A 26,273-nucleotide genomic window follows, 5' to 3' on the forward strand; every position below is an offset into this window, starting at 1 on the left:
GCAGAAGGTTAAGAGAAAAAGACATTTTATATTTTATTGTATTTGTTGGGTTTTTTTTTTTTTTTTTGAGATGGAGTTTTGCTCTGTCACCAGGCTGGAGTGCAGTGGCACGATCTTGGCTCAGTGCAACCTCCGACTCCCTGGTTCAAGCAATTCTCCTACCTCAGCCTCCCAAGTAGCTGGGACACACGCCACCACACCCAGCTATTTTTTGTATTTTTAGTAGACACCGGGGTTTCACCATATTGGCCTGGATGGGCTCCATCTCCTGACCTCCTGATGCACCCTCCTCGGCCTCCAAAAGTGCTGGGATTACAGGCGTGAACCACCACGCTCGGCCACCTCCTCTTGTACTTGGGAGAAATGCACTGATTCTGGTTGCCACGTGGATTTATTTTGGGAGTGATATTGATCTAACTTTATGGAAATAATACTAGATAGAAAGTTAGCGGATGGATTCTCTATCTAATGAGAGTTTTGGGCAAATCGAATACCAAGTTTCCGAGTCTTACTTTTCCTCTGATGCAAGAAAACTCTGAATTAGCCAGCCTGTGAAAAACTCTCACAGCTCTGGATGTGAGTTTAGGACACTGGATTTCTACCACTCAATTTCTTACTACTTTTCTTGCGCAGGGATCATGGCACAAGTTGCAGTTTCCACCCTGCCCGTTGTAGATGAGGAGTCCGTTGAAGATGAGGAGTCCATTGAAGATGAGGAGTCCTTGGAGAGCAGGATGGTGGTGACATTCTTCATGTCAGCTCTTGAGTCCACGGTGAGACCTTCTGTTCTAACATTCTATGGTCGGGTAGGACTGGGCGGTAGATAAAATTGATTTGTTTTTGTAGAACATATAATTTTATGATTTTTATTTCTAATGAGTATATCTTTTTCTTGAATAGTAGTTATGATCAAACACTTCTAACCAAATGTGCCATGTTATCCAGCCTGGTCTCAAAATTCTGGGCTCCAGCGACCTGCCCGCCTTAGCCTCGAAAAGTGCTGGGATTACAGGTGTAAGCCATTGAACCTGGCCAAATATTTTTCTTTGTATGGCTGAATAATACTCTGTATATGTATATATTACATTTTCTTCATTCACCATTCATCCATCATCCATTCATCCATTCTTTATCAACCCTGATGGGCATTAGGGTTGGTTCTACCTGTTGGCCACTGTGAATAATGCTGCTGTTAAACGGGTGTACAAATACCTGTTTGAGTCCCTGCTCTCAGTTCTTTTGGGTATATACGCTTAAAGGGTGTTGGTGGATCAAATAATTCTATGCTTAGTATTTTTAAGGAGCTGCCAAACCATTTCCCACAGTGGGCTGTACCATTTTACATTCCAAAAAGCCTCCAATTTCTCTATAGCATTACTGACAGTTAATATTTTGTTTATATACTGTATTTTTATACTGTTTGAAATTAATCTGAGGGTTTTTGCTAATACCAAAATATTAGGAAAGTTTTTCCAAAAATCATATTCCTTATTATAAAGACTTTTACATGTTACTTGATGCCCTGTGATCTATTTTCTCAGTAAGAAGAGGAACTTCCTGGCTGGGCGCGGCGGCTCATGCTTGTAATCACAGCATTTTGGGAGGCCGAGGCAGGTGGATCACAAGGTCAGGAGTTCAAGACCAGCCTGTCCAACATAGTGAAACCCAGTCTCTACTAAAAATAATAATAAAAAAAAATTAGCCGGGTGCAGTGGCAGGCACCTCTAATCCCAGCTACTTGGAAGCCTGAGGCAGGGAACTGGTTGAACCCGGGAGGCAGAGGTCGCAGTGAGCCAAGACAAAGACACTGCACCCCAGCCTGTGTGACAGAGTGAGATTTGGTCTCAAAAAAACAAAAAAGAAGAACTTCTCTCCATCCAGTCTCATTCCACTGCACCAACTCTTTTTTGTGTCGGGTTGTGCAGGGGAGAAAGGGAGCTTGGCACCTCTTTCCTGTGTTGACTTGTGGTAGCCCATCACTGGGCACTGGGTTGTACAGCGCCTTGTCTCCTCTTTTTTGTTTTTGTTTTTTTGAGACCGAGTCTCACTCTGTTGCCCAGGCTGGAGTGTAGTGGTGCGATCTCAGCTCACTGCAACCTCAGCCCCCCCGGGTTCAAGCGATTCTCCTGCCTCAGCCTCCCAAGTAGCTGGGGCTACAGGCATGTGCCACCACACCTGGCTAATTTTTTATTTTTAGTAGAGATGGGGTATCGCCATGTTGGCCAGGCTGGTCTTGAACTCCTGACCTCAGGTGATCCGCCCACTTTGGCCTTCTGAAGTGCTGGGATTATAGGCATGAGCCACCGTTCCTGGCCGCCTCCTCTTTTACTTGGGAGAAATGCACAGATTCTGGGTGCCATGTGCATTTATTTTGGGAATGATATTGATCTAACTCATGGAAATAATACTAGATAAGAAAGTTAGCGGATGGATTCTCTAATCTGATGAGAGTTTTGGGCAAATGGAATTCCTAGTTTCTGAGTCGTATTTTTCCTCTGATGCAAGAAACCTGTGAATTAGCCAGCTAGTGAAAAACTCTCACAGTTCTGGATGTGAATTTAGGACACTGGATTTCTATCACTCACTTTCTTACTACTTTTCTCACGCAGGGATCATGGCACAAGTTGCAGTTTCCACCCTTTCCTTTGAAGATGAGGAGTCTGTTGAAGATGAGGAGTCCTTGGAGAGCAGGATGGTGCTGACATTCCTAACGTCAGCTCTTGAGTCCATGGTCAGACCTTCTGTTCTAACATTCTGTAGTTTGGTAGGATTGGGAGGTAGATAAGGTTGATTTGTTTTTGTAGAATGTATAATTTTATGATTTTTATTTCTAATGAGTAGATCTTTTTCTTGAATAGTAGTTATGGTCAAACACCTCTAACCAAATGTGCATGTGGAGTTTCTACACCGATTTTCGGACAATCTGGATACCAACTGGGTATCCCACAATTCCATCCTGACACTCCCCGGAGTTAGTGCAGACCCCGCAGGATGGGGGCTCAGTCCCAGGAGTCTACCCTCACTCCACATGCCAATTGCAAGTCCTGGGTTGTTAACATGTACTTTTGACAAACCAGTTAGGAAACAGGGTCTCATAACCCCCTTCGTGGGTGGAATCATTTGCTAGGACAGCTTGCGGAACTCAAAAAACAAGTTATTTTCTTTTATTCTCAGATACAGGGTCTCACTCTGTTGCCAGGCTGCAATGCAGTGGTGTGATCAAAGCTCACTGTAGCCTCGAGCTCCTGGGCTTAAGTGATCCTCCCGCCTCACCCTCCCAAATAGCTGAGACTACAGGCCTGCTCCACCACATCTGGCTATGTTCTTTTATTTTTTGTAGAGATGGGGTCTTGTTATGTTGCCCAGGCTGGTCTCAAATTTCTGGGCTCACATAATTCTCCCACCTCAACCTCCCAAAGTGCTAGGATTATGGGCATGAGCCACTGTGTCTCACCAATTTACGTTCTATTACTGGTTCACTGTAAAGGATATATGTTAGAAACAGCCAGTGAAAGAGATGTACATGTTGGGCACAGTGGCTCATGCCTGTAATCTCAGCAGTTTGGGAGACTGAGGCGGGAGCATCACTTAAGCTCAGGAGATTAAGACCAGCCTGGGTAACGTGGTGAAATCCCATCTCTGCAAAAAAATTTTTCTAAACGTTAGCCAGGTGCAGTGACATGTGCGTGTAGTTCTAGCTACTCAGAAGGCTGAGAGGATGGCTTGAGCTAGGGAGGCATAGGTGGCAGTGAGCCACGATTGTGCCACAGCACTCTAGCCTGGGAGACAGAGCCAGACCCTGTCTCAAAAAAAAAAAAAAAAAAAAAAAAAAAAAAAATGCACAGAGCAAGGTATGTGGGGGGAAGGGCACAGAACTTCCATGCTCTCTGTTGTGCATGTTACCCTCCTCATATGCCCCTTGTGTTCAACAACCCAGGCATTCTCCAAACCCTGTTGTTGAGGGTGTTGATGAAGGCTTCGTTATGCAGGCATGATTGTTGAAATCATTGACCATTGGTGATTAAGTCAATCTTCGGCCACCATTTCTTCTGGAGCTCAGTGGGTGAGACTCACAGTTCCAAGCCTCTGGCAACCAGCCCTCCTCCTGAAGCTGTCTAGGAGCTTTCAGTCACCCAGTCATCCAGTAACATCACCAAATGCATTCGTACTATGGTGGAGATCCCAAAGGTCTTAGAGGCTCTTGTGTTAGAAACCTGGGACTAACACCAAATATTGAAACAAAAGATGCCCCTATCACCTTTATCAACGAGGACTTTATAAGAACTTTAGAAGCTCTGTGTCAGGACCAGGGGCAGAAACCATATGTGTTTTTCTTTTCTTTTTCTTTCAGACACAGAGTCTCTCTCTTTTACCCAAACTAGAGTGCAAATGATGCAGTTATAGCTAACTGCAGCCTCAACCACCTGGGCTCAAGCAATTCTCCCACCTCAGCCTTCAAAGTATCTGGGAGTACAGGTGCACACCATCCACGCCTGGCTAATTTTTCTATTTTTTTTTTTTTTTTTTTTTTTTGTAGAGATGGGATCTTGTTATGTTGTCAAAGCTGGTCTCAAACTCCTGGGCTAAAGCAATCCTTTCACTTCAGCCTCTCAAGTAGCTGAAACCACAGATGCATACCGCCATGCCCAGCTAATTTTTTCTTATTTCTTTTTGTTGTTGTTGTTGTTGTTGATTTGGGGGTTATCACTATGTTTCCCAGGCTGGTCTCGAACTCCTGACCTCAAGCGTTTTTCCCACTTTGACCTCCTAAACTGTTGTGATTACGGGTGTGAGCCACAGCCACTGTGTCCAGCAATCACAAGGGTCTTTATAAGAGAAAGAGGGAGGTAAGAGAGTCAGAATTGGAGGAGATGCGATGATAGAAGCAGAGGTCAGAGAGGGAAATTCGAATATGCTTTGCTTTTGGCTTTGAAGATGCAGTTAGGGGCCATGAGCCAAGGAATGGGGGTGGCAATAGAAGCTGAAACAAGCAAGGGAATGTATCCTCTCTGGAGCCTCCAGAAGGAATGCAGTCCTGCTGACACCTTGACTTTAGCCTTAATGGACCTATTTTGGACTTCTGGCCCCCAGACCTATTAGGTAGTAGATTCCTGGTGTATTAAGCCACTCAATGTAGGCTAGTTTGTAACAGCACCGAGAAGAAATGGACATGAAGCCACGGGTGGTGGCCCACACCCATAATTCCAGCTATTTAGGAGGCCGAGGCAGGAGGATGGCTTTGGCTCAGGAGTTCAAGACAAGCCTGGACAACATAGTGATACCCTGTCTATACAAAAAGAAAAAAAATAGCAGGTGTGGTGGCATGCACCTGTAGTCTTAGCTACTAGAGGAACTGAGGCAAGACGATTGCTTGACCTAGGAGTTTGAGGTCTCAGTGTGTTGTGATCATGCCATGGCACCCCAGCCTGAGTGACACAGTGAGATTTTGTCTAAAAAAAAAAAAAAGAAAGAAATGAGTGAGCATGGCAGGAATGGGGACAGATGGCAATATTAAATAGAGTGGTCAGGATTGGCCTCCTAAGTGAAAATTGAGCAAAGACTTGAAGGAGGGGAAGGAGCTGGCCAAGGTGCTGAGGGAAGAGCACTGTAGGCAGAAACAATAGAATAAAGATGCTAGGAGGGAACTCCATGGTGTGTCTGAAGCTCAGGAAAGAGGCCCGTGGAGCACAGAGAGGGAGAGAAGTAGGGTAGGATGCCAGGGAGTTGTTGGGCTCAGATCAGTACAGATTGTATAAGCCCTGGGAGGCTATTGCTGGGGCTTTGGCTTTTACTCTGACTGAGATGGGAACTGCAAGAATGTTCTGAGCAGAGAGGCGACATGATCTGTCTCCTGATTTAAAAGCATCCCATGGCGGCTGAGTTGAGAAAGACTGTGAGAAGATTTGGGTAGAAGCAGGGAGGCCAAGCTGTGGCAGCATCCAGGTAGGAGATGATAGTGCTTCTGACGAGGGTCCTGGCAATGGTGAGAGATGGTTGATTCTTGTTGAAATACTAAGTAATTAAAAAAAAACACTACTGCCTTTCCCAATTATATGAAGTATGGGATGCTAGATTAAAGAAATCTCAAGTCAGGCCAGGTGCAGTGGCATATGCCTGTAGTGCTAGCACTTTGGGAGGCAGAGATGGGAGAATTGTTTGAGTCCAGGAATTTGAGACCACCCTGGGCAACATAGCAAGACCTCCTCTCTACAAAAATAATAATAATAAAAATATAATTATCCAGGCATGGTGATTTGTGTCTGTAGAACCAATTTATCAGGTTGTCGAGGTGAGCAGATCTCTTGAGGGTGTGATTTTGAGGCCAGCTTGGGCAACATAGCAAGGCTTCTCTCTACAATTAAAAAAAAAAAAAAAAAAAAAGCTGGGTGTTGTGGTGCTCACCAGTAGTCCTAGCTATGGGGAGGCTGAGGCAGGAGGGATCCCCTGAGCCTAGGAGGTCAAGGCAGCAGTTAGCTATGAGAGCACCACCGCATTCCAGCCAGAGTGACAGAGTGAGTCCCTATCTCAAAATACAAATACAAGTAAAGAAATCTCAAGTCATACCAGTCCCTTTTTGACTATGCAGCCTTTGCAACCCCATAGCTGTGCGATTGGGTTTGTGTTGCTGGAGATGAGGAGACCCGTGCCCAGGTGTTGTTGCTTGTCCAATCAGTTTATTTTTAAATATATTAACAAAATTTATTTCATCACACTTGATGAGCTCATATGTGTGATTTTTTGAATTCTCCTTTGAATAGCTTGTAACTATTTGAACATCTTATTGGTTCCATAATTAATTAATTCTTTTTCTAATTAGCTTTTTAAAAACCAGAATTGATATTAGACTAATCAGTTTTTATTAATGAGGAGATGAAATTGAGTTGTTTGCACACTTTAAGATTAGTGTCGTATTGGCCAGATCACGTCAATAGTTGAGCAAGTGCAAAATTAGAGCTTCTTCAGCATAGAACTCTCTCGTGGTTCTTGAAGATGACTTTTTTTTTTTTTTGTCTTTAATAAACTGCTGGTATCATTTCAGACCACTTGCTATTTAGGCACTTAGGAATTTTTCACTGGAATTCATGTAAAGAAAGACCATGGGCGTTTGTACTGGATTTAGTATTCATCATTCGACTGCATGACTCACCCCTAGAGCCATAATTTTACTAATGAATTTTTCAGATACTACTCAGCTAGCGACTGAACCTAACCAGCAACCCACCCTCAACCACTTGATGGTCTTTTGTTCTTCTCTGTTCCTCCTGAAACTCAGTTACTCTCAGAAGGTGATAAATACTTGCATTTCTTTTTTTTTTTTTTCTTCCTAGAGACAGGGTCTTGCTCTGTCACCCAGGCTGCAGTGCGGTGGCGTGATCATGGCTCACTGCAGCCTGAAACCCCTGGGCTCAAACAATCCTCCCACCTCAACCTCCCAAGTAGCTGGGACTACAGACGTTTGCCAGTACACCCAGCTAACTTCTTTATGTTTTACTGTAGAGACGGGATCTTGCTATGTTGCCCAGGATGGTGTCAAACTCCCTGCCTCAAGTGATCTTTCTGCCTCAGCTTCCCAAAGTGCTGGGATTATATATATGCAGGCGTGAGCCACCTGTGTTCAACTCCCTATTTTCTTTTTTTAATAACAATTTTATTGAAATATGATTAACATATCATACAATTCATTTATCAAATTATGCGATTCAGGCCGGGCGCAGTGGCTAATTCCTATAATTCTAAGACTTTGGGAAGCTGAGGCAAGTGGATCGCTTGAGTTCACAAGTTTGAGACCAGCCTGGGCAACATGGCAAAACAGCATGTCTAGATAAAATACAAAAATTAGCTGGGTGTGGTGGCTTATGCCTGTAGTCCCAGCTACGTGGGGACATGAGGCTGGAAGATCTCTTGAGCCCAGAAGGCCTAGATAGGTTGCAGTGAGACCAGATGGTACCACTGCACCACAGCATGGGTGACATAAGGTGACCCTGTCTCTAAATAAATAACGAAAAGAAAGAAAGTATGCAATTCAGTGGTTTTTAGAATATTCACAGAGCTGTGCATCCATCACCACAGTCACTTTTAGAAGTGATTACCCACTTATGAGGTACCCACTTATGAGTGAGAAACCCTCACCTCTTAGTCACTACCTTCTACTTCCCCCATGTTCCTGTGTCTTTATAGGCAGCCACTGATTTTCTGTCATTGTAGTTTTGCCTAATCTGGATTTTTTATAGAAATAGAAATTGTACAATATATGATCTTTTGTAGTTTGCTTTTTTTTCTCTTAGCACAGTGTTTTCAAATTTCTTTCACGTTATAGTTTGTATCAGGATTTCTTTCCTTTTATAGCTGAGCAATAGTTTATGTTTATCCATTCATCAGTCAATGGACACTTGTGTTGTTTCTTGCATATTGGCTGTCACAAGTCACGCTGCTATAACCACTCACATGCAAGTTTTAGTGTGAACATATATTTTTATTTCTCTTGGATTTACACCCAGGAGTGAAATTGTTACATTATGTGATAACTATACATTTAGCCTTTGAGAAACTGCCACGTTGTTTTTCAAAGTGGTTACACCAGTCAGACCCTGTGTCCAAAAAAAATTAAATAAGTCTACTGTCAAGAGAATTTTCTTTCCAGGTGACTACTGCTCTAAGGAAACCATTTGAACTTTAGTTTTAGCACTTCTGTGCTAAAACTTAAGAAAGATGTTAATGACTATTCATCTTAATTGTCATATCATTTGTTACATGTGATTCACTTAGCTAAATATCACTTAGAAATTCAGAGTTCTGTTTACCAAAGATTTCAAAAAATTTTCCCATGAAACAGCCCAGTCTTGAAATGAAAAGTTATATATGCATAAGATTGCCTGTCACACACCGGACAAACCAATTAAAGGAAGTAGAAATTGTCATATGTCTCAGAATAGATTGTATGTAACATTCTCAAATCTAGGTGAGATTAGATTTGAGATTAGCTGACTTTGAAGAGAGTTAGTCTTTTTTTTTTTTTTTTTTGAGACAGACTCTTGCTCTGTTGCCTAGGCTGGAGTACAGTGGTGTGATCTCAGCTCACTGCAACCTCTGCCTCCCGGGTTCAAGTGATTCTTCTGCCTCAGCTTCCCAAGTAGCTGGGACAATGGCGTGCGCCACCACACCCAGCTAAGTTTTGTATTTTTGATAGAGACAGGGGTTTCACTATATTGGCCAGGCTGGTCTCAAACTCCTGACCTCAGGTGATCTGCCTGCATCGGCCTCCCAGAATACTAGCATTACAGGCGTGAGCCACCATGCCCAGTCTCAGCTAGTCTTTTGACTGATGGATGTTTAACATCTCAGCAAAGTTCCTTTCATGCACATGAATTAGTTACACTAACTTCTCCTAGATTTGTTAGAAGAAAAAGGAGTTATCTTCAGTTTGTTTGTTTGTTTTTGAGATGATGTCTCACTCTGTCGCCCAGGCTGGAGTGCAATGGCGCAACCTTGGTTCACTGCAGCCTTGACCACCCAGGTTCAAGCAGTTCTCCTGCCTCAGCCTCCCCAATAGCTGGGATTACAGGTGTGCACTACCACACCTGGCTAATTTTTGTATTTTTAGTATATACAAGATTTCACCATGTTGGGCTCAAACTCCTGACCTCTGCTGATCTGCCTGTGTTGGCCTCCCAAAGTGCTGGGATGACAGGCATGAGCCACTGTGCCTGGCCTTACGTTATTCTTTTTCAAGGAAATGAAACCTTCCTTCAGAATTGCTATATTGCCTTAATTTCATGAATATCTGAGTGGCCAACAGACTAGGCAAACAAAACATACATGTGTAACTGCCTCATGGAACTTACGGATTACAGAGGGAGACAGGTACTAAATATTCCTGCAAATAAATATGTGATTTCAAAGTGTGATAAATACTTTGTAGAAAATAAATAGAATGCTGTAACATAGAGGAGAATAAAGGAGGAAACGTCTTGTAGATCAATTGAGCAAGGAAGACCTCTTTGAAACAGTAGAATTTTAGCTGCAAGCTGGTCATTGATAGGTTTTAGCCAAATAAAGAGATGTGGGAAGAGCTTATGCAAGGCAAAAGCCATGTGTACCTGTTAATGTCAGGAGCCACTTCAGTGGACACTGTGTTGGAGGAAAGGGCTTGGAGAGGCAGATAGGATTGTTTTATTCTAAGTGCTGTAGGAACCCCATGAAAGGTCTTAAGCCTGGATGTGAAATCCATTTTATATTTTAGAGGTCACTGTGGCAATTTTTAAATAAATGAATTGTACTCATACATTTTCTAAGTCTGTTGGTGTTACCTATGAAGAAAATATACAGTATTTAAAAAATTTAAATAAGATAAATGTACTTTGTAAATAGGCAATTATACTTCGATGAGCTTTGTGGTGTTGCTATGTGAAATGTTAAGATAGTGGTAGGAAAACCAAGCTTGGGGTTCCTCAGCGTTGTTCATTTGCCACAGCTTTTGAAAGACAGGTAGGCACATGGTGGAACTTAATTACTTTAGACTCTTGAGTCCTAGTCTGCCCTTGGACTCTCAGGTTCTAGGCAGAGAGAGAGATGTAGAAGTGAGATGCAGAAGTGTGTAGATTCTAAAGGGTGTAGAATTTGGAAGAAGATGATGGGAAGGTAGAAATATTTATGTGAATGTAGGCAGTGTTGGAGCAGGAGAAAGGGAATAGCAAACAGAGATAAGAAGGGTCAGCAACTTTCAGTAACCTGAACCATTCACTTTTTGCCCCATTTTATAACTACTCTGGAGGCTGAGGTGGGAGGATCGCTTGAGCCCAGGAGGTTGCAGCAGCAGAGGGCTGGACATGGGGGCTCACCTGCTTGTCTCTGTGACCGTAGATATACTAAAATGCTGAAGTCAAATACGGATTTTGCAAGTAAAATACTGTTAGAATTTGAGCCTTTCAGTTCATTCTTTTTTGGGTATTATATTGATATATTTCAAAAATTCACATTAAAGTATAATCAACTGTGTCCTTTTGTGGAAACGTGTTGATTTGCCATGCCATAGGAAAGCAGAGGATACATGTCTGAAAGTAAAAGATAGTGATGATACAAAATTACATTTGACATTTTGCAAAGATTTTTCTGTCCTTGAGCAATGTTTGATGGAGAAGTATATGTTAATAAATATTGTAATAAATATTGTTCTGGAATATAATTTAAAAATTCAATGTCTATTTTGACAGGCCAGTAGCAGGATATGCTAACCTGTGTCCAAATATGATCTCTACCCAGCCTCAGGAGTTTACTGGGATGCTGTCCACAGTGAAACAGATTATTCATGCCCTGATAAATTCTACCATTACTTTCTTTCCTTCATGCCTTGATTTTCTGCTTATTAGGTTCTCGTTTTTATACATATATTCCATTTTAAGATGATATGGATTCCTAGATTCATGTTCAATAAAAATACACAAATTAGTGGCGCATGGTGGTGTGCACCTGTGGTCCCAGCTGCTGGGAGGCTGAGGTGGGAGCATGGCTTGAGTCAAGGCTGCAATGAGCTAAGATTGTGCTGCTGCACTCCAGCCTGGTGATAAAGGCAGACCTTGTATCAAACAAGAAGATTTATAAAGCTTTTTCCTCCCTTAAAATTCTAAGATTTAAGAATTAATGATACTGAAAGGCCTATGAAAGTATGTAGATATGGCAGAGCCTGCGCTGCTGCTGCTGTTTGTTTGTTTTTTAAGGCATTACCATGGCTTACTGCAGCCTCAACCTCCTGGGCTCCAGTGATCCCACCTGAGCCTCCCAAGTAGCCGGGACTGCAGACATGTGCCACTACACTCGGCTAATTTTTTTTTTTTTTTTTTTTTTTTTTTTTTTGTGTGTGTGGTAGAGACATGGTCTCGCTGTGTTGCCCAGGCTGGTCTCAAACTCCTGGACTCAAGTGATCCTCCCAAAGTGTTGAGATTAGAGGGGTGAGCCACTGAGTCCAGCTCCCTGCTGCTGCAACCTTTTGGGCTCAAGCAATCCTCCCACCTCAGCCTCCAGAGTAGCTGGGACCACAGGCACGCACCACCACACCCCACTAATTTTTGTATTTTTAGTACAGATGGGGTCTTGCCATGTTGCCCAGACTGTTCTTGAACTCCTGGGCTCAAGTGATCCTCCACCTCAGCCTCCCGAAGTGCTAGGATTACAGGCATGAGCCACTGTGCCCGGCCCTTCTGTTGCCGCTTCTGATAACCATGTGAAAATCCTTATAGGGAGAAAGTAGTGATGACTTACCACTTTCTCAAATTAAAGGAAAGGAAATGATCAGCTAAATAATTTTTTACATGTATATTTGAGCACATACAAATGCTTGTCTTCACAGACATTTTGAATTAAGTTTATCTATTGTAAGCAAATGTCAGTCTTGGCCATGCATCTCAGTGTGCTGCTTTTATCTTTACAGCTCTTGTTCAGAAGTGATACCTGAAACATTCTCAAAAAAGGAAGAAAGGCCGGGAGTGGTGGCTCTCCCCTGTAATCCCAGCACTTTGGGAGGATTCTGCTATATATATAAGAAGGCCAAAATAACTTTAAAACGCAGACAGACTTTCAGAACCATTTCATAAAGTACACAAACACACACACACACACACACACACACACACACAGAAGACAGGAATTAAAAACACAACAGCTGGTGCGCTTCATGGTTTTAAAACTCTTAATGGTGCCTGGAAATATAATTATAGCACAGTAATAGATGTTTATAGTATTTATACTGTATATAAATTGAAAATACTGTATTTTAGAAAATTTCTCATTAGAAATATTTACCTCAAGTAATTAGAATTTAAAATTTATAAATATGGAACACTTAATTGTTCGATTCCAATGTGTGAGAAGTTCCTATAGAAGCATTGGCGTGGTGCTTTTATGTCCCAGTTGGTATCAGTGCTCTCTTTTGATCACAGGCCTGTAATCAGCGTTGATATTTTTCACATTAAGACATTTTGAACTTTTTCTTACAGGGTTTCTCTGCTGGGCTGTTTGCATTTTGCCATGATGAAGATGGAAATCCTCTCACTTCAAGATTTGCAGATGGCCTCCCACTTTTTAATTTTAGGTTTTTTTTTTTTTTTTTTTTTTTTTGAGACGGAGTCTCGCTCTGTTGCCCAGGCTGGATGGAGTGCAGTGGCGTGATCTTGGCTCACTGCAAGCTCCGCCTCCCAAGTTCACGCCATTCCCCTGCCTCAGCCTCCCGAGTAGCTGGGACCACAGGTGCCCACCACCATGCCTGGCTTATTTTTTGTATTTTTAGTAGACAGGGTTTCACCGTGTTAGCCAGGATGGTCTCGATCTTCTGACCTCGTGATCCGCCCGCCTCGGCCTCCCAAAGTGCTGGGATTACAGGCATGAGCCACCGCGCCTGGCCAATTATAGGTATTTTTCATTTCTGTTCTTGTTCTCCTCTATTAGAAGGGTGCCAAGACTAGAATCTGAGAATCATAGCATATTAGATGCCATAAATAATAACGTCTTTATGGCAAACCCATCGAAATTGTAGATAATAAAACAAAATAGGGTATAAGAGGCCATTTTATGAAAACATAACTTGTGAGATAGGCAATATTTACATAACGATGTAAGTAAGGAGGAGAGAGATACCCATACACAAGAACCATTCTTAAGCTGATAATTTGCAGTGCTTTCTTGCATTGAGCATATTCCTCAAAAGCATCAAACCTTCTGGCCAGGCACAATGGCTCGTGCCTGTAATCCTAGCACTTTGAGAGGCTGAGGTGGGCTGATGGCTTGAGCCCGTGAGTTCAAGACCAGCCCAGCAATGTGGCAAAACCCTATTTCTACAAAAAAAAAAAAATAGAAAAATTAGCCGAGCATGGTTGCATGTGCCTGTAGTCCCAGCTATTCAGGGTGCTGAGGTCAAAGGATCAGTTGAGCTCAGGAGGTTGAGAATGCAGTGAGCTGTGATCACGCACCTGCAGTTTAGCCTGGGTGACAGAGCAAGACTGTCTCAAGAGAAAAAAAAGAGAAACCTTTCAGTAAAAGTGAAGATTAAATAGAGTAATAAATTCAGTTGTTACAGATAAAAGAATTGGATTTGGCTTTAAGCTGTGTATTTGGGGAAACAATCTGAAGTATGAATGGTAAAGAGAGACTGGAGTGATTAATAAGGTAAAAACTTTATTTTCCGGCTGGCTTTGTTCACTATTTATGTTTAAACATTGCCTTGCCATGGAAACAGATAAAGGAATTAAAAACAACCTCTTTAAGGCATGGGTAGATGAACAGATACGTGATAACAAATATAACAAAATGTTAATTACAGAATCTAGGTGAGCTGGTTACTGATTGTAAGAGTGTTTATTAAACAATTCTTTTAATGTTTTGTATGTTTGAGATTTTTATAAAACAATATTGGAGAAGAAAACTCTCTTTATGTTTTCTGTTCTTTTGCTGAGAATGAGAGATTTATAGGGAAAATGGCAGAAGCAGTCTAGGGAATAAGCCAGAAAAAAATGATTTAGGTTACAGGGAAAAATAAAAATTGATATCCATCATAATTTTCTGTAATAGATAAATATGTTACTTTTGTAGTAGTGCTTTTATTTATGCAGGATAGATTTCCCAAACTGGGATTGCTGATTTAAAATCTGTTTACACTATAAATTTTAATAGAAACTGCCATACTACATTTTTTTTAAAAAAAGGTATAGCAAAGCAGATTCCTACCAGGCGTGTATGAATGCTCGTTACCAGTTTATCAGTATTGGATATTATAGATCTTTTTTATTTTTTAAGCCCAATTTGATGGATGAAAGATGGTATCTCATTGTTGTATTTCCAGGACTATAGTGAGGTTTTAGCCATTTGCATTTTCTCTTTGTACACTGCCTATTTATTTTCCTTGTCCTGTCTTTTAGGTTAATTTTCCCTTTCTAATCACATTGTAGGAGTTCTTTATAAGTTAGAGATAATACCCCTTTTCATGTTTATTATAAATATTTCTCCTAGTTGTTTATCGTTTTACTTCATTTATCATGCTTTTGCCACGTATAGAAAAATTCTTAAGTTTTTTATCACTAAATTCATCTATCTTTTTTTTTTTTTTTTTTTTTTTTGAGATGGAGTCTCACTATATTGCCCAGGCTGGTCTTGAACTCCTGGGCTCAGGCAAGCTTCCTGCCTCAGTCTTTCAAGCAGCTGGGACTATGGTCATGTGCCACTGTACCCAGATGTTTTTTTCTTTGTTGCTTAAGGCCTCAAAAGATTATAAAAATATTCTCTTACATTTATTCTAATAAATTATTATTCGGCTTCTCAACATTTGTAGGTTCGATCCATTTGAAACTTTTTTGATTTATGTATTTTGGGATTCTTTTGTAGGGTGCATATATGTTTATAATTGTTATATCTTTATGCTGGATTTACACTTTTTTTGGGGGGGACAGGATCTCACTCTGTTGCCCAGGTTACAGTGCAGTGGCATAATCATGGCTCACTGCAGTGTTGAGCTTCCCAGGCTCAGGTAATCCTCCTACCTCAGCCTCCTGAGTAGCTGGGACTACAAAAGTGTGCCACTATGCTCGTCTAATTTTTTATTTTTATTTTTATTTTATTATTATTTTTTGAGATGGAGTCTCTGTTGCCTAGGCTGGAGTGTAGTGGTGCAGTCTCAGCTCACTGCAACCTCCACTTCCCAGGTTAAGGTGATTCTCCTGCCTCAGCTTCCCAAGTAGCTGGAATTACAGGCATGTGCCACCACGCCTGGCTAATTTTTGTATTTTTAGTAGAGACGAGGTTTCACCATGTTGGCCAGACTGGTCTCATTCTCCTGACCTCAGGTGATCTGCCCACCTCTGCCTGCCAAAGTGCTGGGATTACAGGTGTGAGCCACTGCACCTGGCCTACATAGTATATCTTTTTATCCTTTTACTTTCCACCTATTTGTGTTCTTTAGTCTAAACTATGTCTCTTGTAGATGCATAGTTAGATCATGTTTTTAAATTCAGTTTTCCAATTAACCCTGTTCTGCCTGCTACAGTGGCTGTCAGGCTACTGGTTTTCACCATGATTGTGGGCTGTCGGTTTGCAAGGCTGCCTGAAAGCTGGAGAGAGGGCATGGAAAAGCACCACAAAGTTCCTGTTTCTGCTGAGATTCATCCATTTTTCATGAATAAATGCTTTCTGCATTGCTGTAAATCTTTGATTAATTTCCAAAGTTTAAAAAGTTGATTTCACCAATTTGGGTAGCTTTCTCGTTGCTTTGATAGGAGAGAATTTTGAGAGATTTTTACTCTGTCATTTTTGCTTATATCCTTCTGGAATTTTTGTATGTGGTGAAATAGGGATTTAACCTTTTTTTTTTCTAAATGGATAATCAGTTTCACAGTAATTAGATAAATTCTACTTTCCCACTAAATTAATATGGCATTTTGTTGGTTATGTTTCCTTACATACTTGGATATGTTTGTGAACTTGTTTTCATTTTATCCAATGCATTTGTCGAAAGGAAGTAATTCATTGTCATCTTAGCCAAGTGCTAGCTATGTGAACTTGAACAAGTTACTTCATCTCCCTGAACTTTTGTCTCTTTATCTGCAAAATAGTGACGATAATCTCATAGGGTTGTTGAAAAGATGAAATTTGAAAATACTTACCAAGGCTAGGCACAGTGGCTCACACCTGTAATCCCAGAGCTTTGAAAGACAGAGGCAGAAAGATGGCTTGAGGCCAGCAATTTGAGACCAGCTTTGGCAACATAGCAGACCTTGTCTCAGCAAAAAATAAAAAATAAATTTAAAAAAAATTTTTTGGACTGGATTTCATTCTGTCACCCAGGCTGGAGTGTGGCTGTTTGAACATAGCTCACTGCAGCCTTGAACTCCTGGGCTCAAGTGATCTTCTTGCCTCAGCCTCATGAGTAGCTGGGACTACAGGCACACACTACCATGCTGGCTAATTTTATGTTATATTATTTTATTTTATTTTGTGTTGTTTTTGAGACAGGGTCTTGCTCTGTCACCCAGTCTGGAGTGCAGTGGCATCAACATGGCTCACTGCAGCCTCAACCTTCTGGGCTCAGGTGATCCTCCTGGCTCAGCCTCCTGTGTAGCTGGAACCACAGGGCTGTACAACTATGCCCAGCTAGTTTTCAAATTTTTTGTAGAGACAAGGACTTCTTGTGTTACCTAGGCTGGTATCAAACTCCTGGGCTCAAGCAGTCTTTCCATCTTGGCCTCCTGAGGTGCTGGGATTACAGGTGTGAGCCACTGCACCCAACCAAAAAATTAAATTTTACAAAATGTAGAAAGGAAAATACTTATCAAGTACTTTGTTTGGACTTGGTACATAGGATGTTCCCAAATATTTTAATTTCATATTGATATTTATAAAGACTTTTTACAGTAAATATAAATATTTTTACATTTATAGTTGTGAATTTGCAACAATAATTGTTTTAATTCTATAATTGCAGTCTTGGATTATATCAATGGAGTGATAAAGTAGTTCGAACAGTGGAGAGATTATGGGATGTTCGAGACAATAACACTGTGTATTATTGTTTATCTCCTGGTAACGCTTCTTGTTGTAAGTATTACTGAACTTCATGTCTCATGAGCCATCTGTTCTTTTCCTTTATTGTGGTCCTTTCTTTACTCATCATTATTATTTAAGAACTTGTAATATTTTAGAGTCTATAGTAGGAAAAGTAATATAAAGGCAGTGTAATAAAGCTATGGGCCATGAGAAATCTGAGGAAATGGAAACTTGGCAATGAGTCTCACGGCTCCCATCCTACCCAGTGCTTTAGGCCAGTGCCGCCTCTGTTGTGATGCCTCTTAGGATCAGTGGTACTATTTCTGTAATGACTTAACATTTTATTTGGTGTCTGTATTAGTTAGGGTTCTCCAGAGAATCAGAACCAACAGGATGTGTGTATATTTCTATATATATGTACACACAGAGAAAGAATATGAGAGAGGAGGGGAGGAAGAGATTTCTTTCTTTTTTTTCTTTTTTCTTTTTTTTTTTTTTTTGAGACAGGGTCTCACTCTGTCACCCAGGCTGGAGTGTATTGGTGTGGTTTCGGCTTGGTGCAACCTCTGCCTCCTGGGCCCAAGTGATTCTCCCACTTCAGCCTCCTGAGTGGCTGAGACTACAGGCACGCACCACCACCAGGCCCAGCCAATTCTGTTTATTTTTTGAAGTGATGAGGTCTCACTATGTGCCCAGGCTGGTCTCGATCTCCTGGGCTCAAGCAGTCCTCCTGCTTCAGCCTCCCAAAGTGCTGGGATTACAGGTGTGAGCCACAACACCTGTCCAAGAGATAACTTTTAAGGATTTGGCTCACATGACTGTGGAAGCTTGGCGAGTTCAAATCTGATGGGGTAGTCCAGCAGGCTGGAGACTCAGGGGAGAGTTGCAGTTTGAGTCCAAAGGCAGAATGACTTCTTGTTCAGGGGAGATCAATCTTTGTTCTCTTAAGGCCTTCTACTGATTGGACAAGGCCCACCCACATTATGGAAGGTGATCTTTACTTCAGAGTCCACTGATTTCAATGTTACTCTCATTCAAGAAAATACCTTCACAGAAACATCCAGAATATCTGGGCCAAATATCTGGGCACCACGGCTATTCTCCCTCCCCCTTTTCCTTGCCTATGTACAGCTGTCTGACTTCTAAAGTTTTGCATTGCTCTTGGGCTACTTCCTATCTCTGGAAACCTCTAACTAAAGGACAGACAGAACCCAATGAGCAAGGTTTTATCATACTGAGCAACTTTTTTTTTTTTTTTTTTTGAGACAGAATTTCCCTCTTGTCACCCCGGCTGCAGTGCAATAGCACAAGCTCGGCTCACTGCAACCTCCGCCTCCTGGGTTCAAGTGGTTCTCCTGCTTCAGCCTCCTGAGTAGCTGGAATTACAGGCACCCGCCACCATGCCCAGCTAATTTTTGTATTTTTAGTAGAGACAGGGGTTTCATCATGTTGGCCAGGGTGAGACCCTGTCTCAAAAAAAAAGGAAACCTCTTCCTCCCCTCCTCTCTCGTATCTTTCTCCACATTTATATAGATATATACACACATCCTGTTGGTTCTGTTTCTCTGGAGAACCTTGACTAATACAGATACCAAATAAAATGATCACTCATTATAGAAATAATACCACTGATCCTAAGAGGTATCACAACAGAGGAGGCACTGGTGACTTCAAGTGATCTGCCTGCCTCGGCCTCCTAAAGTGCTGGGATTACAGGTGTGAGCCAGCGTACCTGGCCAGAGTAGATTTTTTGAACAGATAAAACTGACAAACCTTTAGTTAGAGAGATGCAGATAACATAAGAAATGAAAGAGGAGACATTACAACTGATATGACAGAAACACAAAGGATCATAAGAGACTATTATAAACAATTATATACCAACGAATTGGATAACCCACAAGAAATGAACAAATTCCTAGACAAATACAACCTCTGAAGACTGAGTCATGAAGAAATGAAAAATCTGAACAGACCAATAATGAGTAATGAGATTGAATCAGTAATAAAAGTCGACCATCAAAGAGAAGCCCAGAACCAGTTTCACTCCTGAATTTCACCAAACGTTTAACAAAGAATGAATACCAATCCCTCTCAAACTTTTCCAAAAAACTGAAGAGGAGGGATTACTTCTAGACTCTTTTTACCAGGGTGGTATTAGTCTAATAACAAATGTAGACAAAGCTATTGCAAGAAAAGAAAATTACAGGCTAATGTCCTTGATGAGCATTAAGTACAAAAATTTTCTGACAAAATACTAACAAGCTGAATTCTACAACACGTTAAATAGGTCATCCATCATGATCAAGTGAGATTTATCCACAGGATGCAAGGATGGCTGAACATAGCAAATCAATAAATGTGATACATCTCGCTGACAGAATAAAAAACAAAAACCATATGATTGTCTCAGTAGATGCAGAAAAATCATTTAGCAAAATTCAACATCTTTTTATGGTTAAAAACTAACCAAATTAGGCCGGGCGTGGTGGCTCACGCCTGTAATCCCAGCACTTTGGGAGGCCGAGGCGGGCGGATCATGAGTTCAGGAGATCGAGACCATCCTGGCTAGCACGGAGAAACCCTGTCTCTACTAAAAAATACAAAAAAATTAGCCGGGCGTTGTGGCAGGCTCCTGTAGTCCCAGCCACTCACGAGGCTGAGGCAGGAGTATGGCGTGAACCCGGGAGGTGGAGCTTGTAGTGAGCCAAGATTGGGCCACTGCACTCCAGCCTGGGCAACAGAGTGAGACTCCATCTCAAAAAAAAAAAAAAAAAACTAACCAAATTAGGTGCAAAAAGAAAGTACCTCAGCACAATAAAGACCATATAAGAGACACCCAAAACAAACCTTATACTTATTAGTGAAAAATTGAAAGCCTTTCCTCCAAGATCTCTTACCACTTCTACATTCTACAGAGTATTGAAGAACATAGTGGTAAGAACACTCTTACCACTTCTACATAATATTGGAAGTCCTTGCTAGAGCAGTCTGACCATAGAAATAAAAGGCATTCAAATAGGACAGGAAGAAGTGAAATAGTTGCTGTTTGCTGATGACATGGTCTTATATATAGAAAATCCTAGAGACTCCATAAAAAAATTGTGAGGATTAATAAATAAAGTTGCAGGATACAAAATCAACACACAAAAATCAGTAATTTTCTATATACTAACAGAAAACTACCTGAAAAAGAAATCAAGAAAACAATCTCATTTACAATAGCTACCAAGAAAAGTAATTCTTAGGAATAAATTTACCCAGGGAAGTAAAAGACCTATACACTGAAAACTACATGAAAGAAACTGAAGAAGACATAATAAATAAAAGGGAATCCTATGTTCATGGAGTAGAATAATTAATATTGTTAAAATGTCCATACTACCCAAAACAGTTTACGGATTCAGTGAGATCCCTGTCAAAATTCCAGTGTCATTTCTCATAGAAGTAGGTAAAAAATCCTCATTCATATAGAACCACACACACACAAAACCCTGAATAGCCACAGGAAAAAATGCTCATCATCACTGGCCATCAGAGAAATGCAAATCAAAACCACAATGAGATACCATCTCACATCAGTTAGAATGGTGATCATTAAAAAGTCAGGAAACAACAGGTGCTGGAGAGGATGTGGAGAAATAGGAACACTTTTACACTGTTGGTGGGACTGTAAACTAGTTCAACCATTGTTTGTGATTGAACAACTTCCAAATGTTCCACATTGTGGAAGACAGTGTGGCGATTCCTCAAGGATCTAGAACTAGAAATACCATTTGACTCAGCCATCCCATTACTGGGTGTATACCCAAAGGATTATAAATCATGCTGCTATAAAGGCACATGCACACATATGTTTATTGCGGCACTATTCACAATAGCAAACACTTGGAACCAACCAAAATGTCCATCAATGATAGACTGGATTAAGAAAATGTGGCACATATACACTATGGAATACTATGCAGCCATAAAAAAGGATGAGTTCATGTCCTTTGTAGGGACATGGATGGAGGTGGAAACTACCATTCTCGGCAAACTATTGCAAGTACAAAAAAACCAAACACCGCATGTTCTCACTTATAGGTGGGACTTGAACAATGAGAACACTTGGACGCAGGAAGGGGAACATCACACACCAGGGCCTGTTGTGGGGTGGGGGGAGGGAAAGCATTAGGAGATATACCTAATGTAAATGACAAGTTAATGGGTGCAGCACACCAACACGGCACATGTATACATATGTAACAAACCTGCACATTGTGCACATGTACCCTAGAACTTAAAGTATAAAAAAAAAAAAAATGAAAGATTGGAAAAAAAAAAAAAAACCAAAAAACCTGAATAGCCAAAGCAATCGTGAGCAAAAAGAACAAAGCTATTGAGGCAGTGTGATGCCTCTAGCTTTGTAGTATTTCAAACTATACTGCAAAGGAATAATAATTAAAATTTCATGTTCCTGTCATAAAAGTAGGCACATTGATGAATGGAACAGAATAAATTATGATTAACTTGATTATGATTAATCAATTATAGTTAATTGATTTTTAATAAAGGTGCTGAGAATATACAATGGGAAAAAGTCTCTTCAATAAATGGTGTTGGGAAAACTGGGTATCCTTAGCAGAAGAATGAAATTTGACCTTTATCTCACATCATATACAAAAACCAACTCCAAATGTATTAAATATTTAAACATAAGACAAGGAACTGTAAAACTACTAGAAGAAAACATAAGGGGACAACTACATGACATTGGTTTGGGCAATGAGTTTTTGAATTGGACCCTAAAAGCACAGGCAACAAAAATAAAAACGGACAAATGGGATTACATGAAACAAAAAAGCTGCTGCACGGCAAAGGGAACAAAAGTGTGAAGAGACAGTCTACAAATTGGGAAAAAATATTTGCAAGCCAAACATCAGAAAAAATATCCAAAATATATAAGGAATGCAAACAACTGTGTACAAATAGCCCATTTAAAAAATGGGCCAGGGACCTAAATAGACATTTCTTAAAAGAAGACATGCAAATTATGAACAGGTACACGAAAAAATACTCAACATTACTAATCCTTAGGGAAATGCAAATTCAAACCACAATGAGATGTCATTTTATGTCTGTCAGATGACTATTATCAAAAAGACAAGAGTGCTCGCTTTGACAGCACAAATACTAAAATTGGAATGATACAGAGAAGATTAACATGGCCCCAGTGCAAGGATGACATGCAAATTCATGAAGCATTCCGTATGTTAAAAAGAAAAGAAACAAAAGGTAACAAGTGTTGGTGAGGATGTGGAGAAAAGAGAATCCTTGTACAATGTTGGTGGTAGTATAAAGTAATACAGCCATTGTGGAAAACTGTATGGAAGTTCTTTGAAAACTAAAAATAGAATTACCATATGATCCAACAATCCTTGTTCCATATTTACACAAAAGATTTGAAACCAGTTTGTCAAAGAGATGTTTGCACTCCTGTGTTCATTGCAGCACTATTTACAATAGCCACATTACGGAATCAGCCTAACAGTCCATCAGCAGATGAATGGGTAAAGAAAACGGGTTATATACAATTGACCGTAGAACAACATAAGTCGGAACTGCACAGGTCCACTTATTTGTGGACTTCTACCACTTCTGCCACCCCTTAGCCAGCAAGACCAACTCCTAGTCTTCCTCTTCAATGTGAAGACAAGGATGAAGACCTTTATGGTGACCCACTTCCACTTAATGAATAGTGAGTATATTTTCCTTATGATATTTTTTGTAACATTTTCTCTAGCTTTATTGTAAGAATACAGTACATAATACATAAAATATACAATATATGTGTTAATTGACTATGTTATTGGTAAGGCTTCTTGTCAACAGTAGGCTATGAATAGCTAAGTTATGGGGAAATCAACAGCTATACACAGATATTGAACTGCATAGGAAGTTGGCACCACTTATCACGGTGGAATGCTATTCAGCCTTAAAAAGGCTGGAAAATTTGTCATTTGTGACAACATGGATGAAACTGGAGAACATGATGCTAAAAAAGGAACAAGGAGACAAATACCTAATGTTTTCACTTACATGTGACATCTAAAACTATTGAACTCAGAAGCAGAGGGTAGTGGTTCGAGGCTGGGGGTTGGGGAAAATAGTAAGATGATGGCCAAAGGGCACAAAATCACAAACAGAAGTAATACATTTTTGTTCTTTTTTTTGAGGTCATTGCACAGTATGGTGAATGTGGTTAATAATAGTGAATTGCGGCCGGGCGCAGTGGCTCACGCCTCTAATCCCAGCACTTTGGAAGGCCAAGGCGGGCGGATCACAAGGTCAGGAGATCGAGACCATCCTGGCTAACACAGTGAAACCCTGTCTCTACTAAAAATACAATAATAGTGTATTGCACATTTTTAAACTGAAAGTAAATTTAAAATGTGCTTCTCACAAAAAATAAGTATTTGAAATGATGGATTAGCTTGATGTAATTACTTCATATTGTTCATAAATCAGAACATCACTCTACTCTATAAATATATGCAATTATAAATTGTCAATTTAAAATAAAATAAAAAATAAAAAATTGTAAAATTGTTACTAACATGAGTTACAGCTGTCAATCATACTAGTCTATAACATTTTTTAGCTATGTGGTACAAAAGTGAAAATCTTCAGAGAGAGGAAAAGATACTAAGAGAAGTAATTTCTTAGCAAAGAGAAGTGTGACTGCATCAAAATATTTAATTATATTAAAAACCATATTTTAAAAAGAAATTCTTTTTTCAAGAAAGTAATTTTTTAATGTTAACTTATATTCATGTGATGAAAAGTTTGCCATTATCTTATGGTACTTTTGTACCATATTTTCTTCCGATTTTTCTTCTGGTTCTTAGCAGGAAGCACGAAAACATTTTAATTGTCCAGTTCTGGAGGGAATGGAACTTGAAAATCAAGGTGGTAAGTGCACTGAGCTCAACCATTGGGAAAAAAGGTTATTAGAGTTCAGTTTTTAAATTTTAGACTTTATTTAATAAAATAATTCATAATTATGGCAAACGTTATTCAAACAGGTTACAAATGTTTTGTCCCTTTACCCCTTCAGCTCTTGAGATCCACTGTCCAGATGTAATCACTCTTTAAGTTTTGGTATATGCTTTTCATAAGTGTTATATATGTATGTATGTGCAAACACTTGCAGAATTGTTTATTTTTTAATGGGTTCACATATTTATGCAACTTTTTTCACTTTTTCCAAGGCACTATAGGTGCTTCTGCTATAATGCAATGTATGCTTTCCTAAAAACCTTTTTCTTCAAAATTGGACACTAAAAATAACAAGACTTGTGGGAAAAACAAGTAAACAGATCACTAACAGAAACAAGTAAGTCATGTAGAACTATGAGCTCAGTTTAAAAATACATCAGATTTCCAATAAATGAAGTCCTGTATCTAATCTAGTATTTCTTTTATTAATTTTTTTTATTTTTTAGAGACAGGGCCTCACTGTGTTGTCCAGGCTGGAGGGCTGCAGCTATTCACAGGCATGATCATAGCAAACTATAGCATCAAACTCTTGGGCTCAAGCAGTCTTCCTGCCTCAGCCTCCCAAGCAGCTGGAACCACGGGTACACACCAGTGCACCCAGCCTACTGTAGTACTTTTTTCTTTTCTTTTCTTTTCCTTTCCTTTTCTTTTTTTCTTTTCCTTCTCTTCTCTTCTCTCCCTCTCCGTTTCTTTTCTTTTTTAAGGCCAGGTCTCACTCCAGTTGCCCAGGCTACAGTGCAAGTGGCGTGATTTCGGTTCACTGCAGCCTCGACCTCCTGGGCTCAGGTGACTCTCTCACCTCAGCCTCCTGAGTAGGTGACACTACAGGCATGTGCCACCGCGCCCAGCTAATTTTCTTTTTGTACTTTTAGTAGAGATGAGTTTCACCATGTTACCCAGGCTGACCTCAAACTCATGGGCTCAAGCATTCCACCTGCCTCAGCCTCCCAAAGTGCTGGGGTTACAGGCATGTACCACTTCACCTGGCTGCTCTAGTATTTCTTTACCTTCAACATCAGCAGTAACAATAACTCATGGTAGCTGTATGGGGAATTGTAAATCTGAGTAATGGGGACAAGGGTAAAATGTACGTAGACTTGTGAGAACCATACAGTAAACACTTCCAGGCAGAGCCACTGGGTACACGGAGCAAACAGAAAGCAGATGGAGTAAGCACACACTATACACAGTACAGCATTCTTGTATTGCTGTGTTTGGCTATCCTAGTATAGTTTGTGTTTAGGCTTCATCACAAAATAGTAACATGCAGGGAAAAATCAATGAACCAACGTGATTCCATGTTATATTGATGCCATTCCCTTATTTACTAATTTCACATGAGCTCAATCACATCGCAGAAACACATCCTTTCACAAAATAAACTGTATACTTGGATCTACTTATTTTTTTCTATATGAATGTAGCATGTCAGTTCTGTGTTAATGAACAACTATGTCTTAAATTTTGTATTTTAGAAAATGTAATGAGCAACTTATTCATATCTGTGATACCTTGCCTTCCCAGGGTGGGGCTTCAGTTGCTGCTTTTAGATTCAACTAAGCAGTCAAACCCACAGGACCTAATCAGGCCATATTGAGGATAGATTCCCTTAGAGACGGATGTTAGAAGGAACACACAGCATGCCAGCAGAGTAGAGCCAGGCATTGCTCATGTGCTCCACATAGCAGTGGAGGGGCTGTCATCTGTGCCTC

General features: G+C 40.4%; 1 long non-coding RNA gene and 2 pseudogenes across 2 annotated transcripts in view, besides 2 other annotated features; 2 read left to right on the forward strand and 1 right to left on the reverse strand.

Moving 5' to 3' along the window:
• Positions 1-375: 375 nt before the first annotated feature.
• Positions 376-26,273, reverse strand: part of LOC107987100 (uncharacterized) — a 37,965-nt gene continuing 12,067 nt past the window's right edge. For both annotated transcript variants that reach the window (XR_001746843.2, XR_001746844.2), the window contains exons 2-3: positions 2,586-2,754; positions 376-812 (exon numbers count right to left, since the gene is read on the reverse strand). This is a non-coding gene — a long non-coding RNA (uncharacterized LOC107987100). The remainder of the gene's footprint in view (positions 813-2,585; positions 2,755-26,273) is intronic.
• Positions 3,012-3,181: an enhancer, noted in NCBI's record as "experimental_110230 CRE fragment used in MPRA reporter constructs". NCBI's record gives its function as "activates a minimal promoter by MPRAs in K562 erythroleukemia cells, with activity observed for both the introgressed and non-introgressed 9:97250445 variant alleles {active_cell/tissue: K562}" and the evidence as "EXISTENCE:reporter gene assay evidence [ECO:0000049][PMID:34662402]".
• Positions 5,488-5,688: a silencer, noted in NCBI's record as "peak7297 fragment used in MPRA reporter construct". NCBI's record gives its function as "represses an SCP1 promoter by STARR-seq MPRAs in K562 erythroleukemia cells {active_cell/tissue: K562}" and the evidence as "EXISTENCE:reporter gene assay evidence [ECO:0000049][PMID:32103011]".
• Positions 11,206-24,518, forward strand: LOC100421692 (leishmanolysin like peptidase pseudogene; annotated as a pseudogene).
• RNU6-669P (RNA, U6 small nuclear 669, pseudogene) lies at positions 22,672-22,777 on the forward strand (annotated as a pseudogene).

The sequence above is a fragment of the Homo sapiens genome, chromosome 9 (genome assembly GCF_000001405.40).
Source record: "Homo sapiens chromosome 9, GRCh38.p14 Primary Assembly".
Taxonomy (NCBI): domain Eukaryota; kingdom Metazoa; phylum Chordata; class Mammalia; order Primates; family Hominidae; genus Homo; species Homo sapiens.